This window comes from Homo sapiens, chromosome 1 (assembly GCF_000001405.40).
Source record: "Homo sapiens chromosome 1, GRCh38.p14 Primary Assembly".
In the NCBI taxonomy this organism is placed as follows: Eukaryota; Metazoa; Chordata; class Mammalia; order Primates; family Hominidae; genus Homo; species Homo sapiens.
The window spans coordinates 191,795,100-191,815,425 of NC_000001.11; the positions used below are offsets into that span (position 1 = coordinate 191,795,100).

General features: G+C 31.8%; 1 long non-coding RNA gene across 1 annotated transcript in view, besides 1 other annotated feature; it reads left to right on the plus strand.

The window, feature by feature from the left end:
- Positions 1-20,326, plus strand: part of LINC02770 (long intergenic non-protein coding RNA 2770) — a 278,575-nt gene that overhangs the window by 62,414 nt on the left and 195,835 nt on the right. The gene's annotated exons all lie outside the window — the stretch shown is intronic.
- Positions 18,527-18,727: a silencer, noted in NCBI's record as "peak600 fragment used in MPRA reporter construct". NCBI's record gives its function as "represses an SCP1 promoter by STARR-seq MPRAs in K562 erythroleukemia cells {active_cell/tissue: K562}" and the evidence as "EXISTENCE:reporter gene assay evidence [ECO:0000049][PMID:32103011]".

The window sequence follows — 20,326 nt, forward strand, 5'->3', positions numbered from 1 at the left end:
TGCCATATGTCAGTTGGTTAAGAAAAAAAATTTGCTTTGAAATATTTTTACAACAAGAAATTTAAAGATGTGTCACAAAATTTATAAGGTGGAAAATTTGCGATACTATCATATTAGTTAGTAGTAATTACAAAGAGTTTTATATAGTGATTCAGGAAGTGGAACTTTAGACAACCTCAGAATGGTAAAAATAAATAAATAAAATAGCAATTTAAAATGTAAGAAAAAGTAAAGTATGACAAAGGGAATGCAACAATCTGTCATTGTTTTTTCTTTCTCTCATTTTAATTTCAACATGACCTAGAAAGAATCAGACAGAAAGTCTGAAATAGAAGAATAAAACCATCTGCTGGAATAAAACTATTCCAGGAGAACATAATTAGCTCTACAGGGCAGAGGCTTCAACTTATTTTGATCACTGGTGTATCTCATGGCCTAGAGCCGTGGTTCTTACATTTAGTTTTTGTTTCTGGTTCTGATTAAATTCTTAAACTATGTTGAGAATGCCAAAATACTTTTGCTTATGTAGTATATATAAATATATGCATTTATAGTACTACAAGTAAAATTTAGGCATTTAAAAATATCAATTTATTAATTCATTGTAAATAACAACAATAAACCTACTACATGCTAATGTAAACAACATTTTAATGAAATACATTGTAGCTTACAAAGCCAAAAACTAATGCGAATAGTGACATTGTTTCATATATTCTTAAGTATCTTAATGTAGGACTAAATAAAAGATGAAAATGAAAAGTGTTTCCATATGTTTTGCTGATTCTGAATTCAATCAGCCCTGGTATATTACTTTGGTAGAAATATGCAGTTAATATATACTCATACAGATATGTAATTGGAAAAGGCAGGAGTCCCTAATAAACTTTATAGTAACCTTGATAATTATCAATTTGAATCTACAGCAAAATTAGCAAGTAATAGTTTTTTTTTTTTTTTTTTGGTTTGGCTTTCTTTGTTGCTTTTATTTATTTTTTTTTTTGAGATGGAGTATCTCTCTGTCCCCCAGGCTGGAGTGCAGTGGCACTATCTTGCCTCACTGCAACCCCTGCCTCCTGGGTTCAAGCGATTCTCCTGCCTCAGCCTCCCGAGTAGCTGGGACTACAGGCACGTGCCATCATGCCCAGCTAATTTTTTGTATTTTTAGTAGAGACTGGATTTCACTGTATTAGCCAGGATGGTCTCCATCTCCTGACCTCGTGATCCTCCCACCTTGGCCTCCCAAAGTGCTGGGATTACAGGTGTGAGCCACCCCACCTGGCCCCAAGTAATAGTTCTTAAAAGTTAAAATTTAAGAGGTGAAACCATTCTGACTAATTTTCCTCACTATGTTACATTTAAAACTGTTAGTATATCTCAAACTTTTATTCATACATAATTTTGAAACACCATACATTCATCTTTTAGAAATTGATTCAGTGGATTATGAAGATATTTCAAATGTTGACATCGTTTTCATGATGTAATATGAAAAAAATCACATGTGCTAATATCAACCTCAATCTTATTAGAAAAGTCTGCATTAGGAAGATGTCATGCTTATTTAGGCAGATGCAAATTTTCTAATACTTAAATTTTGTCTTAAAATGCAAATTTCATTATTGACAACAAATATGGTAGGTTGTTTTATTTGTCGGTAACAGGGTCAGATTGTTTATATTTGAGAAGATGTCTGCCAAATACCCAGCGTTTAAAAACTATAGTTTTTGGTTACCTGTTCTTTTAGGAAGGAATGGTGTTTCATGAACAAGTGGCTAGTTAATCTCCTCACAATAGCAATCACACAAAAGTCCTCCCTCAAGATAATCATCCTACTTTGGTGTGTAGCATAAGTTCATTATGTCTTTTTCCATTTCATCACTCAGAATATAAAAAGATATGTATTTATGGTTGGAGCTTTAATAAAATTATTTATTTGTGATTAATCAAACACATTCTTTTTAAAAGCTGTCTTCTTCTGTTTGTTTTCTTTCTTTTCTTTTCTTTTCTGTGTATGTTCACATAGCAAAGAATATATTGACTCCTATTATAGTTTGGTACCATTGAATGATGTCAACCACCGACCCCCATCAATTGTACCTACCATCAGTGCAGAAGTCCACACAATTGTTCCAGGATAACTTATGAGATTCAAAAAATTTATTCAAAATTTTCATTTGTGTTTATTTCCAAGCATTCATTAAAAATGAATGGTCTAATTTATTAATTGGTGTTAATATTAGATTAATGTAAATACAGCAAGTCCAGCCATGCCTGTAGGTTATTCATTTGTAAGCATTTGTAAGACAAAAATACTAATCTACAGATTGGGTACTAACTCAATCTTGATGTTTATAGTAGGTCTTCAATTCCATGAGTTACAGTATTATTAGAAAGTAGAAGTGCCATGATTTTGTTAATGACTTTTCATCTAGCAGGCATTCAAGGCTTTGTCCTACAGCTATTCTAAGTGTTTCTCCAGCCAATGAAAGATAATTTTCCCTGTAAGATGCTTCAGTGAATTTTTCATTTTTAGTTTGAAAAGCTATAATGAATAATTTTTGTTTTTAAATAGCTTATCATCTCTACATTTAAAATACTCAATTCTTTTAATTTATGAATTGACTAGATTTGCCTCAAAATGATCCACAAATTAACTGGCAATATAATATTATTCAAAACTGTTCTTTTGAATAAAACACAATATACTAAATTTTTAACATTCTAAAGCTTAAAAAGATAGCTTTCATCAGTTCACTTTCTTACTTAAAATTTTGCCCAGTATCTTTAGAATTAATTCCAAAGAATAGATTGTTTTACATATGTCAGAGAATACTCTGATATGTCAGTTTCTTTGTATTTCCGTGTCTTTAGGAATAGTGTAACTGTGGATTGAAGAAGTCAAGTCTTCTAGTCCTAATTTTAGTCATCAACTAAATCTTAAATATGCAAAATGTATAAATAAAATTATTTTAGTAGGTAATTAAATTCCAAAATAATAACATATGTGGATACATTCTTCAAATTTAGAAAAGTTTTCTACTTTTTAAATCAATAATCTTGTAAAATAAATCAACAAAATTTACTTTCTTGTATTTTCACGTAGGCATAAAGACAACAAACTCAAAATAATTCATGGGAAGATAATGAGTTTACAAAGATCATAGTAGTTACAATAAAAAGAAAGAACATAATGTTCTAAGAATCAACTGAGTTAATTCCATAATATGTACATATTTATATTCTAAAGCCACTACCTTAGAAAATTACAGAAACAAAAAAAACAAAAATACAGTCCATTAGCAGTCAGAGCAGTGACATCATTACAGATCATGTAGCCTCTGAAAAAAATATTCTGTATACTTATTATAGAGAGAAGAAAAGAAAAATAACATATTTGCATTGCTATGAACATAATTGTGACATTACAAACCACTTAAATAGCTTGGGAACCAACAAGGGACTCTTGATAACTTTTGGAAAACCACTAGCTTAAAAATGTGCCAGATAAGTATTGGCACTAAAAAACAATCAAATAAATGAAGAAAAAAATACTTCAGTAGATGTATTTGTGTGTATATTTTGCAATTGTATTTGCAGTTAGTAGATATATTCATGTGCATATTTTACAATTATATTTGTGTGTATACTTTGTGATTTTCTTCTTTACTTAAATTATGGAGTTTAACATGTATATTTTAAAAATCATATATTTTTATACATTTCTTCTATAGGAGCAACATATATCATATTTTTCTTTTGTACAAAATAAAGCAGTCATTATTATACAGATTTACTGTCTCTCATTTTCATTTTTTAAATTTAAAGTCATATAAGAGAGAAGTAAAATAGTTGTTAACATAAGTCAGTAGCTTGAATACATTATTTCTTTCTACAGTCTTACAGTGATGAGTAATTTATATTCTTGAGTTTTCGAAGCATTTGCACAGATCTCATAAATGTGGTAGGATGAACACATACAGTCGTGTATTTGGTGATTTTGTGCTGTTAACGCCTAATAAGGGATTTTGGATTTTTATAACTTATTCTTCTATGACAAAATGAGCACATGGGTTCTTAATGTGGAAGTATCTGTACACATAGTTTATCTTGACTACTTTGACTACAGTGAAGGGTCTATTCCAGTCAGGAGCTTCATAAGACCAAAGCTCTGTCTACCTAATTCATCATTGTTCCAGGAAGTAGCATAGTGCCAGACACATTGCTACTATCAGTGAGTATTTTCATACCAATGAACATATTTTAAACTCATTAAATTACAAAGTAATTGTTCTTCCATAGGATGGGCTAAAGTAGACTACTCCTTTCCTTTTTTGTGTCCATCTCTTTAGATATGGTATGCTTGAGCTTTGGAAAACACTTCAAATAATGCCATAGAATAACTGCAGGCAACATTTTCAATCAACATATTTAAATCAAAATGGCTTATATTTTTGTTACTAAAAGAAAAAATGCACATTTTTTATAAAAAGATTTTTTGTTTAGTATTTAACAGCAAAAAATAATTTAGTATTGGACCTGAAAATATGTAATGTAATTAATTATATAAAGACAATTTTGTACATGCTTATCTTTTGTTAGTAGAAAACTAATTATAATATTCTCTAAAGTAGGAGCATGTGAATTAAATATTGAATTAGTTAATTCTCATGTCAGGAGTTAAAATTTAAAAAGTAACATCCGACAGATATGAAATTAGATGTCCATGATACAGAGAATCTTGGGTTATCATTTTGGGTATCAGTAACTATCTATGTGACCTTGGGCATGTTATTTGTGACAGTCTTATGATTGATTAATAATATTTTCAGCACAGAGATAAGAAATATATGTTTCTTCTTCTTGGATTTTACCTGATGAGGTTGCATATCACCTGAAATATCAGGTAAATAAACATCAGACTGGGATTTAACCTCTGAAAGGCATGTTTTTTTGTTTTTTTAAAAAACAAAACAAAGGATCATTTTGACAAAAATGGTCACAAAATCCAGAATGGCATCTTTTAAAAAGAGATAAAAATGAGATCCATTTAAAACAAAATCACTAGTGACTTGTAACACAAAGCATCTAATTCTCCATATTATATTATATTACAAAGAATCAGAAGTGAAGGCTTCATATGGTTTTAGGCAGGTCAGTCCTAAGAGACATATGGGGCACAAGGTAAAGGGAGAAAAATAGGGAAGAAAAATTGTGTTATTGCGTTGTATAAATGCGTAAACATGTAAATCTAACCCAAATATTTGAGAGTATTTTGGGTACCACAAATATGGTATTCTTTTTTTTTTAATTTTTAATTTTTATTTATTTATTTTTTATTATACTTTAAGTTTTAGGGTACATGTGCACAACGTGCAGGTTTGTTACATATGTATACATGTGACATGTTGGTGTTCTGCACCCATTAACTCGTCATTTACATTAGGTATATCTCCTAAGGCTATCCCTCCCCCCTCTCCCCACCCCACAACAGGCCCCAGTGTGTGATGTTCCCCTTCCTGTGTCTATGTGTTCTCATTGTTCAATTCCCACCTATGAGTGAGAACATGCGGTGTTTGGTTTTTTGTCCTTGTGATAGTTTGCTGAGAATGATGGTTTCCAGCTTCATCCATGTCCCTACAAAGGACATGAACTCATCACTTTTTATGGCTGCATAGTAATCCATGGTGTGTGTATATGTGCCACATTTTCTTAACCCAGTCTATCATTGTTGGACATTTGGGTTGGTTCCAAGTCTTTGCTATTGTGAATAGTGCCGCAATAAACATAGGTGTGCATGTGTCTTTATAGCAGCATGATTTATAATCCTTTGGGTATATACCCAGTAATGGGATGGCTGGGTCAAATGGTATTTCTAGTTCTAGATCCCTGAGGAATCGCCACACTGACTTCCACAATGGTTGAACTAGTTTACAGTCCCACCAACAGTGTAAAAGTGTTCCTATTTCTTCACATCCTCTCCAGCACCTGCTGTTTTCTGACTTTTTAATGATCCCCATTCTAACTGGTGTGAGATGGTATCTCATTGTGGTTTTGATTTGCATTTCTCTGATGGCCAGTGATGGTGAGCATTTTTTCATGTGTCTTTTGGCTGCCTAAATGTCTTCTGTTGAGAAGTTTCTGTTCATATCCTTCGCCCACTTTTTGATGGGGTTGTTTGTTTTTTTCTTGTAAATTTGTTTGAGTTCATTGTAGATTCTGGATATTAGCCCTTTGTCAGATGAGTAGATCGCAAAAATTTTCTCCCATTCTGTAGGTTGCCTGTCATGATTTGTCAATTTTGGCATTTGTTGCCGTTGTTTTTGGTGTTTTAGACATGAAGTCCTTGCCCATGCCTATGTCCTGAATGGTATTGCCTAGGTTTTCTTCTAGGGTTTTTATGGTTTTAGGTCTAAAATTTAAGTCTTTAATCCATCTTGAATTCATTTTTGTATAAGGTATAAGGAAGGGATCCAGTTTCAGCTTTCTACATATGGCTAGCCAGTTTTCCCAGCACCAGTTATTAAATAGGGAATCCGAAAAAACAACTGCTTTTGAAGAATCCTCATGATAATCAAAATTGGCTTGTGAAATTTTAATTATATAGCACTTAAAAATTCTAGCATGACATTAATTACTCAGAAGATATGTAGAAAAATATGGCATGTATTGCACATATGACCAAACTCCTGGTTAATTGCACAACATTTCAGATCCTAGAAATCAATTAACCTAATTGTTTGACTGAAATAAATAAAGTAAAATAATTATTTAGCATAACCATTGTCCAAAAGCTAAAAGCTATATATAAAACGATGGTAAATTTTTACCCTATTGCCATTTATCCTATAGTTAGAAACAAAGCTCTTATTTTTGAGAAGACACACTAAGACCTGCTTACGTAGATTTTTTTAAGTAAAAATTAAGGAAAGAAGAGGTATTCAGTAGATAAAAATAAACTTTGCTAAAGAGAATAGAATGTGGCAAGAACCACAAAGAACAACCCCACCAAGCATATCTGACAATTACTATTTTGAATAATACCCAAATAAGATTACAAAGATATTTGGCATCCAGAATTCCCAAAAGCTATTTGGAAAGGCTTATGATCTACATAGAATAGCTCTTGAATATTTTCCGAAGTAAGATGTAAAAGAGGAAGATCAAGGGCATCTCTTTATAATCCAGCCTAATCAGTAGTCTCTAATACCAGGAGACAATAGTTAATTTCCTTTGCTTAATAATATTTTGTGGCCAAAAATGTGTGAAATTTTTTGTTTCCCTTTTGATAATTAATGTATGGATTAACTTCTATTTAATATATGACATTGAGAAACCATACAATTCTAAACAATAAGTAATAGATTTGAAATGGCATTTTACACACAGTGCCCCCCAATATAACAAAAATATATCTATAACCTGTAGAGATTGTATTATCACATGAGAGATGATTATTAATGTGTGGAGAAAATTATTCCTAGTCTTTGCAATCAACTACGAAAAAGCAGCAAGAAAAATATTGCCAAATTTTCTCCACATCTACACCACCTCTTATAATTGTCAATTCATTTTAATTTTATTCACTCTTGTAGATGTTAGCAGTCCTTCAATGTGGATCAGATTTTGCACTTCCATAACAAACAATATTTTGAGCATTTTTAATATGTTCATGAGAATTTTACATAGTTCATTTAGTGAAATATCTGTTCAAATGTTTTGCCCATTTACTATTGTGATGTTTGGCTTATTACTGAGTTGTAAAGTTACTTATACATTCTGGACAGAAGCCCATTGTTAGCCATATGCATTGTAATGTTTCCTCTTTTGGGTTGTACCTTGTTCTTTCCTTAATGGTGACTCTTGAAGAGAAATTTTAATTTTGATGAATATTAAATTACAAAGATTTTATGATTCAAGTTTTTGTACCCTAAGAATCATTGCCCAACTCAAGGTCACAAATAATTTCTCCATATTCTACAATTTGGTTTGAATTAATTTAGTATATACTGTTATATATTTTTTCTTCTTGTCTAATGCGATTTGATGCTATAAATTTCCTTCAAAATGTTTGTTTAACTACATCATCACATGTTGATGTATTGTGTATTCATTTTCTTTGAGTTCAAAATATTTTGTAATTGTTCTTATCTCTTTTCTACTTTCTAAATATTTGTAGATTTTTAAAATGTATTTAATATTAATATATAATATTTGTATAAATTTATGGCATATATGTGATATTTCAATACATGTATACAATGTGTAATGATCAAATCTGGGTATTTAGGACATCTATCACTTCAAACATTTATCATTTCTTTGTGCTGAGAACATTACAAATCTACTTTTTTATTTTGAAATATACAATGTATCATTTTTAACTGCAGTCACCCTATTGTGCTACTGAACACTAGAACTTATTTCTTCCATCTAACTTTATGTTTGTACTCAACTTTATGTTTGCACTCATTAACCAACCTCTCTTCATTCCTCTGCTTCCCAACCTCTGGTAACTACCATTCTACTCTATCTCCCTGAGGTCAATTTTTTTGGTTCTCCTATATGAGTGAGAACACACAATATTTTTTTGTTTCTGGCTTATTTCACTTAATAACCTCCAGTTTCATCCATGTTGCTGCAAATGACAAGATTTCCTTCTTTTAAATGGCCAAATAGTATTCAATTGTACATTTTTTATCCATTTACTCTTTCATCTATTTATTCATAGATGGACACTTATGCTGATCTATATCTTTCCTACTGTGAATAGTGTTGCACTAAACATGGAAGTGCAGGAATCTCTTTGATATACTGATTTCTTTACTTTTGGATAAATACCTGGTAGCGTAATTGTTGCATTATTCTATTTTTAGTTTTTTGAGAAATTTCTGTACTATTTTCCATAATGGCTGTACTAATTTTACATTTCCATCAACAGTATGTAAGGGTTCTCTTTTCTCCACATCCTTACCACATTTGTTATTTTTTTGTCTTTTTGGTAATAGCTATTCTAACAGGGTAAGATATCTCATTGTAGTTTGATTTGCACTTCCCTGATGATTAGTGATGTTGAATCTATTTTTGATACACCTATTAGCCATTCGTGTGTCTTCCTTTGAGAAATGTGTATTTTTGTCAGTGGGGCTTTTGGGTTGTAGAGATGGGGAGGCCTGGTAGGTGTTATCCAGCCATTGTGTGGATTCCAGGCAGCTCCTTTACTAGTCTCAGGGCCCACAGGGTCCACGGGCCTCTCTTGTAGCTAGGATTGCAGTAGTCTGTGGTGGAAATGTGTGAATGTGGACTACTGGGGATCTCTCTTCACATTTCCCTGTAATAAGGAGTTTCCCTTGACTCCAAGCTGATTCCAGCCAAGCCAGCTGTTTCTCTTTCCTCTAATTCTGTGCTTCAGAGTTTCCCGGTGACTTTCCTGCTGAATTCAAGTGAACTCTCTTAGACATTCCACTTAACATGTGTTTATCTCCTGACTGTTTTTATCCTTCTTTGTGGAGGAGGCAAGTGCTGAATGCCTCTAGTTCGGCCTCTTAAAGACTCTAGCATATTTTTTTAAATGTACTTTTTTCTGTTATTTAATTAACAGAAAAAATTTTGTTGTGATAAGCAAAATACTTTGCATATTTTGTTATTGTTTAATTTATTGAGATTTTATATATGATATATATGATGCATCACATGGTCTACCTTGATGAATATTTCATAAACACTTGAAAAAACTAATATTCTGCTAATATTTACAAGATTGCCCTATTATTTGATAGCATTCAAATCTTCTATCCTTACTCAGAGAAGGTGTTTAAATTTGCAAGTATGATTTAAAATTCATCCATTTCTTTTTCAATTTTACCAAGTTTTGCTTTATGTAAAGCCATTTATCTTTATCAGATTTCATACTTCTTATATATAAGGATTCATGGCTTTAAAAATTTCTTTATTTCTGCATCTCTTATTAAACAGATGTTGAGTTCATCATATTTTAAAAAGAAGTGTTCTTAATTTTCACAACCCTTCATCACTTTACCATTCTATTTGCCATTTTTGGATAATTTTCTCAGATATTTATTTTAATTTAAACTTCTTTTATAATTATTTTGGGGGTTATATTTGATCCAATTTAGTTTAACTGCAAATCTTAACTTCCATGATTATGTATTTTTTCTCTTCTGGTAAGTATATTTTATTTTTAAATCTCCTTTTTAACTATCATGTTCTTTTTAGAGATTAAATCAGTATTTGAAAATTTTATTAATTAAACACACTTTAAAAAAATCTCGCATCTAAATATATAAAGGTCTATTTCTAGTGTTGTTAGTGTTGGCTATGTTTCACTCACTAAAAATTATATTTCTTATGTGTTTTGCAATAGTTTATTTTCAATTTGATATCGCCCTCAGGGAGAGTGTTTTTTGTGTTGAATACTCTTTGTGCTTAACGAAATTGATTGCTCTCTTTTCTTCACTTATTGGTTCAGTAATGCTTTTAAAATAATTTTGCTGCAGTTTATATAACATTTCTCTTTGTTTATACTGGGGGATATTTCATATTAGCAAAACAAAATATTTAAGAAACATTTATACATTTATTCTCTGATATGGTTATAGATTTGGGTAGGTTCTAAAATATTAACTACAATTTTAGAAAGTAGAGTTCTAAAACATGCATTTCAAGTTTTGAGGATAAATTTAAAGTGAGGGAACAATGCACTCCAGTGTGTTCAGTATCCACACATTTCCTGGAGAATCAGTTAGTCAGAAATATTTTTATAGTGAATATGGGGCTAAAAATTTAGGCAAGCTTAATTTAATAAAAGTGTATTTTTAAAACAATAAGGGGAAATCAATTTGTTCTTTTTGTTCATGTGACTATTTTATTGTTTTTTTTTTTTAATAGAGAAGTTCCATTACTCAGTTTGTAATGAAAACAAACCTGAAAACCAGGAAACAAATTACTTTGTAGTAGTGTGGGTGAATTACTTTGAATACATCTGAGGGAAATAATACATCTGATGGATTTGAATAATACATCTGAGGGATTTGAATACATCTGAGGGAAATAATTGCACCATGTATACAATATTAGAATAATTTAATTGGGCCTTGATGATATTTTAAGATATAAAATTGTACTTAATTTTTACAGCATATTTCTTTATGCCAGACCTGAATCCCAAAGGAAGCATTAAATTACATTAGTCTGACATAAATAAGGCAGATTTAAAAGTAAACATACTTAGTTCAGAAAACGATTCAATAAATACAAAAATCACAACTAATTGTACTCTCCTATCCATAATTAATGACGCTATTATCTCACCAAAATCTAGGAAGTCTACTTCATTTTGATAATCAAAGGATAATTTCATTTTTATGTATATATGTATGATTTGAATAGTATAAATGAACCCTCTGATGTTTAGACAGTTGGAACCAGTTTTTCCTAGTTAATTTTAATTTCGAACTTCTATCACTATGCTAAAATTATCCCATAATTTTGTATCTTAAAATTGAGAAATAAAGTTTAATAGTGTTAATATTTCCCTTATGACTTATTATAAGCTTAACATTAGTTCATTCTACTGAATAATTAGGAGACTCAATCAGTCAAAATTAGTTCAAGGTAATTAATCATTACACAACAGAAGCAATCAGGAGTCAGAATTAGTTTTCCAAGATGGTGAGAAAAAATTTGATTTGAATTAGGGATCAAGTAGATTTGAAATACTTGAATCAAGCTCAGGAGCATACAAGATTGAAAACAAATTTTCAAACCAAAATCTAAAACAAAACAAAACAAAATAAAAAGTAAGAAACAAGTCAACCTTTATTATAAGCTCATCTCAAGGTGTTTGTGGTGCAAGAAATTACAGTGGTTCAGATTTACAGACTGCTTGAGATAAAACAATTAACAATAAAAATAATTGACAAAAATGCCTGAAATTAATATATGTTTGATAGTAACTTTACCCTTCTCATCACCAAAAATTAATCTTTATGGAGTTAGGCATGGTAGCTCATGCCTGTAATCCCAGAGTGCTTTGGGATGCCAACGTGGGAAGATCCTTGGAGGATGGGAGTTTGAGACCATATTAGTAAACATAATGAGGTCCTATCTCTACCAAAAATTTTTTTTTTAAATTAGACATGCCTAGTGATGTATACCTGTAGCCCTAGCTACTCAGGAAGCTGAGGCAGCAGGATCCATTGGGCCCAGGATTTCTAAGTTGCATTGTGTTATGATTGTGCCACTGTATCCCAGCATGGGTGACAGAGTGAGATTCTGTGTCTAAAGTAAATAAATGAATAACTAAATAAAAATAAAAAGTGCTCTTCATGTGTCAAGCTTCTTCATAAATTTGTTAAGCTAAACTTTTTTTGTTGCCCTTAAATTTGTTACAAGGACACAAAGCTGAAGATGACTATTATCATTCATTTTTCATTCTGGACTACAGTTAATGTATAGAACTCAGACTTCTTGAAATTATAATAGAATAACTGCTTAATATTTTTAACATTTCAAGATCCCTTATGATACTATATTTTAAAGAATGAGTTTTAAATAACTTGTAGTTTTTTAATCTCAATTTGCCATTCAAATGGATCATGAACATGAAAATAAGTTAAGCTTCAGCAAATGGAGATCTGAACAAAAAATAAAAATTATGCCATAAGATACAAAGTAACTGCAGCATGACAAATTTGGGATGAGCCTTTGGTGTGTATTTTATTTAATTAAAAGATTAAGTTTGACTGGAATTTTTTTTCAAAGTAGTTATTACTGTTGCCTTTGAAAGATAATGTTTTATCTGTATACACTAGTTCCTAAACACGTCATCTCAGCTGTATATTTTTAAATTATGTTTTCATGGCCAGTAAATATGGCATAATAATAATAATAACAATTCAGCACATGTTACTATAAGGCTGACTGTGCATGAAACACTGTTCTAGATACTTACATGTTGTATCTTACTAAATTCTCAGAACCACCATATGAGTTCTTGTTGTATTAAGTGACAAATGCATATAAACTACTTAGAACAACGGTTGGCAGAAGGAAAGGGAGAAATAAAGAGGGAAGGGGAAGATGAGAGGCAGAAAGGGAGGAAGAAACAAAAATTAGAAGATGGAAAATATGCCAAAGACCATAAATCAATTTTTTAAATTTTTTATGTTCCCAATTTATACTAGTTTCTTAGAGATTTCCAGTTCATGTTAACCTGTGTTAGCATTCTCTTACTGGTACTTGACTTCTATTTTGTACTTACTTTTATTGTTTACCTGACTCTTCTAATGCTGTTCTACATCAACGTAACAACCAGTCTATTGGCTATAAACTCAAAAAAAAGTGGGAAGAAAATAATCTTGTTTTATAATGTCATTTTCTCAGAAACTTATATATAAACTTTTTACGTATTTATATAATGCTAAATGTCCACTCTCCATAAAATTATTGTATACTAAGTGATAATTCAAAGCATCCAGTATTCAATATGGAACGTAAAGGAGAAGCTGATTTTACGTAATTATTCAAAATGTTTTACTCTAGCATCTAATTTGATGCATTAAATATTTTACAGTATATTCTCCAATGGCAAAGGCACGAATTACTTTAAAGTATTTTTATGAAGCATTTCTACTTTTAATATATTTTAAACTAGCATATAGCTCACATGTCTATAGATGTATTGGACTGGCAGTTTAATTCATATGGTATTACTGTGTGACACACTTTCTTTCTGTTAACAAACAAGGCCTTAAAAAAACAATTTAAATCAAGTTAAAGTATACATAGAGCAGAAAAATCCTCACAAATAGATAATCTATACCCTTCCATAATGTTTGATTTCTAACACATTTATGTTTTAGAAACTAAACAGACTAAGAAGCTATCGGATGACAACTAGTATTTGATATATTTAAAATAAACACAATAATAACAACAAAGAAAGCAAAATCTTTGTCTAGCTATTGCTTGTTCTGTGACAATAAAAGCAAAAGAAAACAAATGAGAGCAAAATAAACCTAGACATATTTTTATCTGTGTAATGAATGCATCACGTATGTGCTAAAAAAGTAATAACATATCCATTATTTATGAAAGCAGACTATTGTTATATTTCTAGAATGGAAAAAATATAAATTAACCTAATACCTTATGGAATAATAATTTATTGAGATTGCTACTCTGTTGGGTCTAAAATATGTGGCTTGGTAGATATCAACTCTCAGTTTCCAGTCCTCCTACAAATCCAAAATTTCACCTATTTAATTTATCCTTAAAAGGAATTACATGCTGACTAATATTGCAAGGTGGGATAGTGTCATTTCCTTTAAAAGCTATAATAAATATTCCAAATATTATTTTGTCTTAGAAAAAATATTTATCATTATTAAGCAGGAAATCAAACAAACAACTAAGACCAAGGGAAATTCTATAAAATATCGACATTATGTGTGGTTATATGAGTGAGATGGAAGAACATCAGCCTGGCCTAAATTTCTTATACCAATAGGAGGAAAATACTGGACATCCATTTTTTTTTTGTCATTGCTGCTGAGGTAAAATCACACTAATTAGAAGTGTAGATGGAACATACTTTCCATTTCTTAAGTGTGGGCTACACACAGTGACTTTGTTCCAAAGAGTACAGTATGGAAAGCGTTATAAAAGAGTATCTTTCAAATGGAGAAATCTTACAAACACCATCTCAGCAAAAAGTTCAAGGCCAATATCAATATCAAGACTTATAAGTCATGTTGATAATATGTACATTTCATACAAAATGATGATGAAAACGATACATGGCTCATGGCTACTGTAGACTTTTCTTTTTCTTTTTTTTTTTTTTTTTTTTTTGAGACAGAGTCTCGCTGTGTCACCGAGGCTGGAGTGCAGTGGCGCGATCTTGGCTCACTGCAAGCTTACTGTGGGCTTTTTTCTAACAACACATAATCCCAGTCTAATTATGAGAAAAACATCAGATTTATTCCAATTGAAGGGCATTCTCCAAAATTTCTGACGAGTACTATTCAACACTGTCAAGGTCATCAAATACAAAGAAACTATCACAATTAGGAGAAACCTAAGGAGACTAAATGTAATATGGTATCTTGGATAGAATCCTAGAACAGAACAACAACAACAAAAATAGGTAAAAACTAAGAGATCTTGGCCGGGCGCGGTGGCTCATGCCTGTAATCCCAACACTCTGGGAGGCTGAGGCGGGTGGATCACAACATCGGGAGCTCAAGGCCAGCCTGGCCAATATGGTGAAACCCCGTGTCTACTAAAAAATAAAAATAAAAAAATTATCCAGGCAGGGCGGCCCACGCCTGTAATCCCAGCTACTGGAGAGGCTGAGGCAGGAGAACTGCTTGAACCCGGGATGGGGAGGTTGCAGTGAGCCGAGATGGCACCACTGCACTCCAGCCTGGGCAACAGAGTGAGACTCGGTGTCAAATAAATAAATAAATAAATAAAGGAGATCTTAATAAAGTTAGAGCTTTAGTATATAATAATGAAACAATATTAGTTTATTAATTATGACCAATGTATCACACTAATGTAAGATATTAATATTAGGGAAAACTGAGAGTGGGGTATATGGGAAAACTACTATTTTTAAAACTTTCCTAAACATAAAACTATCCTAAAAGAAGAAAAAAAGTTAATTAAAAGCAAAAAAGAAGAAAATATAGAACAATGTAGTAGAAATTGATTTATAAAGTGTGTTTTTAAAACAACACTAATATTTAAATAATCTAACTAATTTGAATAAACCTCTACATTATACCAAAAATAATAAGCAAATGAGGAGCTTTTATTGGAGAGTGAACAGAAACATGCAGACTTGTTGGGAATATACACAGAGAAAGAGAAGATAACTAGCCTCTGGGGTTTTTTGTTGTTGTTGTTTTTGTTTGTATTTTATGTTGTTTTTGCATCTTTCAAGCATGGGCTTACCAGCAGTTGGCTGGAACATGCCAGATGGCAGCAGTGACACCAGTAGAAACACCATAATGTTTCTAGCTTGGGGAAAATAAAAATGCCTATATAATTCTATAATTTACTAAAAAAAGAAACAAACATTAAACCAAGCAAATAGAAAGAATTAAAGATGTTTCCACAAAGATGGTGTTACTAGCTTCAAGCAACAAACCATCTCAATCATATTAAGCTCTTCTAGATAATAGAAAGAATGAAAAAAAGTCCTATGTCCTAGTTCATTCTTAATGTCAGCATAGTTCTGATAAGGTCAATATAGTAGAGAAACCCTATAAGTCCATTTCATTTATTAATAAACATGTAAAAATCCAAAACAAAATATTAGCAGTGAAATGCAACTGTACAAAAGGTAATAAAATATACATTGGATTACTCACTTAGAATATGAGAATATGAGAAAACATCTAAATCTAATTCATGATAATGTTGAAATACAATATTAATTTGTGCCTCTCAATAGAGAAAAATATAGAGCTTATTATATATTTATGATAATAATTAAATAAATTGGAAATAAAAGATAGCTATCTCCTGGGAAATTGTATATATTAGAAAAAAACTACACACACCATCTTAGTTGAGTAGAAAACATTCCTTAAAATAAGAAACAAGACAGGAATACTACTATAAGCATATACTGTTGTTGGAGTGAGCCTAATAAGGCAAGATTAAGAAACTAAAGTATTTTTCATTGGAATGCAGAAAAACAAAACTTGTAATATTTGCCTAAAAACAACAAGGGCATTTTAATATCACAACAAAACACTAGAAAATATAATTTTAAAAATTCAATTTGCGATAATATAAAAAAGCAAGTACCTAGAAATACGTTTTATAAAAGATATGCAATTCTTCTTTGTGGAAAATGGTAAAGTTTGATGTAAGATATTTTAAAAGCCAAACATGGATACCCAACATTATAGGGGATGAAAGGATAGATTTTGGTGCCATATTGCAGGTACAGAAAATAAATTTTGGAGTTCCTAAAGTCTGATATTTTTAAAATTTTTCTAAGATTTTATATCTTTTTTTCCTTTGGTATAAATAAAATCTGCCTTTTGGATTGCTGATATAATAAAATGATAGTAATGTTTGTAAATCAAAGCTCATTGTTAAATAATGTTTAAGGTTCCTTGGCCACTGATTTGACTTGAGTTTCTAATTTATGCTGAAGATACATCTTTGCTAATGTTGACGTTGTTTGGGGAAACACAAGCATCAAGTGACTATAAGCATTTCTGCAATGAAAGCACATAGATTGTTTTTGGTAAATTCTTAAATGATGGTATTAACACAGTAAATATTGAGCTGATCCTTACCTTCACTGTCACTAGCAGCACTGTGTCCTCATTCAGAACTCTGGGAATGTGGAGAATCCCTACCAGGACATGCCACATCTCTTCTTGCTTAGCGTGGCTATCTCGCTTCCATTAAATGTCTATATTATTGGCTAAACTATCAGTGGAGAGACCTTATCTTATAGTGTATATATATGTACGTGATTTCTTTCACCACAATAAGGCACTGCAAATATTAAATTATAGTGTATTATAATAGGAAATGATATTTACAAAATGATTAAATACATAGAGTGGGAATTTTGAAAACTTAAAATATGTGTGTTGGTGGTTTTTATCAGTTAGGTAATTATGTTTTATAATAATATTCAATTGAATTAACTTTTAATAAAACTATAAAGTCAAGTACAAATTTGTTTGAAAACAAACTGTCTCCAAAAGAATTCCTTATGAGTAGATCATATAAAAGGACTCAAAACAATGTAAGTGATTGGTGCAATTTTATTATTCACTGCTCTTTCTTGACAAATTGGATAGCAAACTGTAATTAGCAATCAGTTGCTGATTTTTACATAAGAGCACTGTGTCAATATAGAACTCTGGTCTCTACAAGGACTGTTCTGTAAAACAACAACACAAAACAAAAGCACCATTAACCCAAGATGCTTGCTAAGAAATTTTTTTGAGTAGATAATTTAAAATACAATGAATTTAGAATACAGAGAATTATGTTTGTTGTCTTTAAGAACATAGTAATTTCATTTCCATTTTCATAGGTCTTTCGAAAAGATACCAATGGCTTTCGGTTATCCAGTCTAGGGCATTTTCACTTTGTCATTTGTATTGGTACTGGGTGTATAAACATGTGGTGGGGAGCAACTCTTGATTAATTCTGTATCACAGATGAGTGTATTGGGGGAACCAGCCCCCAGTATGTCAACGTAGATTCTTTTCTATTTTCTCTAAGTGTCTGAGAAATAAAGAGAAAGAGTACAGAGAGAGAAATTTTACAGCTGGGCCTCCGGGGGTGACATCACATATTGGCAGGTTCCGTGATGCCCCCGAACCGCAAAACCAGAAAGTTTTTATTAGGGATTTCAAAAGGGGAGGGAGTACGAACAGGGAGTGAGTCAAAAAGATCACATGCTTGAAAGGGCAATAAAAGATCACAAGGGAAGAGAGGCAGAGCAAGATCACAAGGCCAGGGCGAAATTAGAATTACTGATGCGGTTCCATGTCCCACTGGGTACACATTGTCATTGATAAACATCTTAACAGGAAACAGGGTTTGAGAACAGACAACTGGTCTGACTAGAATTTGCCAGGCTGGAATTTCCTAATCCTAGGGAGCCTGAGGGTGCTGCAGGAGACCAGGGCATATTTCATCCCTTATCATCAACCTCATAAGACAGACACTCCCAGAGTGGCCGTTTAGAGGCCTTCCCCTGGGAATGCATTCTTTCCCAGGGTTATTCCTCGGTGGGAAAAGAATTCAGTGATATTTCTCCTGTTTGCTTTCTGCAAGAAGAGAAATATGACTCTGTTCTGCCTGGCCCCGCAGGCAGTCAGACCTTATGGTTATCTACCTTGTTCCCTGAAAATTGCTGTTATCCTGTTCCTTTTTTAGGATGCCCAGATTTCATATTGTTCAAACACACATGTTTTACAAACAATTTGTGCAGTTAACACAATCATCACAAGGTCCTGTGTTGATGTACATCCTCAGCTTATGAAGATGATGGGATTAAGAGATTAAAGTAAAGACGCATAGGAAATTATAAAAGTATTGATTAGGGAAGTGATAAATGTCCAGGAAATCTTCACAATTTATGTTCAGAGATTGCAGTAAAGACAGGCATAAGAAATTATAAAAGTATTAATTTGGGTAACTAATAAATGTCCATGAAATCTTCACAATTTATGTTCTGCCACGGCTTCAGCCGGTCCCTCCGTTGGGGGTCCCTGACTTCCTGCAACACCAGTGGATAAGCCTTTGAAAAAAAGAGTACACAACTGTTCCTAGCAATCTTCATGGATGTTAAATAAATGAAGATATCCCACTCATATTCACTTCTGCTGAAATCATACAGCTAGAAGTACACTAGGAAAATAGATAAAAGCTCCATTAGAATTCAAAATATAGTTTGTGCAACAGCATAAAACTTTAAGAGAGCTGAGTATAGTGGTAGGTTATGTAATAAAATCATTATCATGGTCAAGCTAAAACTATTATGATTATTACTTGAATTTTGCACTCACCACCCGTGGCTACTCCACCTGGGTCTGGAAGAACCAATGCTTTTATAATTGCTTAATGCCTAAACATTTTAGCATGTGGTAAAAGACGTCCCTGCTTTTGATAGCATCCCTCGATGGATCTATAACTCTAGTCACTAAATTTAAATGTTAAACACTAAATTTAAGTGCTTTTAATCAGGTTTTCCTAATATTAGACAATGCAGAATTTCTTCCACTGGTAAATTATTTTTAAAAATAAAACAAAATCAAATTAACTGCAGGTAATTTATTTTCATATACAACTTATATATTTTTTAAATATTGGCTTGAAAATAGCTTAATATTAGCCTAAACTGGGCCCACATAGTCACAAATGTATTGAACTTTGGATGAAAAATTATATATACTGTTTAAATTTAGAAATATTGTATTCATTCATTTATTCATTTTACAAAATGTTATTGAGAGCCTATTTTTTCATTCATTTATTTATTCATTTCATAAGATGCTCATTGAAAGTCAGAAATAAAAATAAGCTCCTAAACCCCAAAAGACTGAATAGACAGTCTCCTGGCCAAGGAGAATCCAAAAGCAACATTAAAAACTGAGTTCCTGGCCATGATGGAACAAGAGATTGGATATGCTTCAGTATGCCCCTTTTTTACTAACCTTCAACCAGAATTCTTTCTTAAAGAGTAAGCAGAAACAAGCTCTGGAGAAGAGGAAACAGACAAGCTATTCCTTTATCACCTTTAGCCAATCATCTG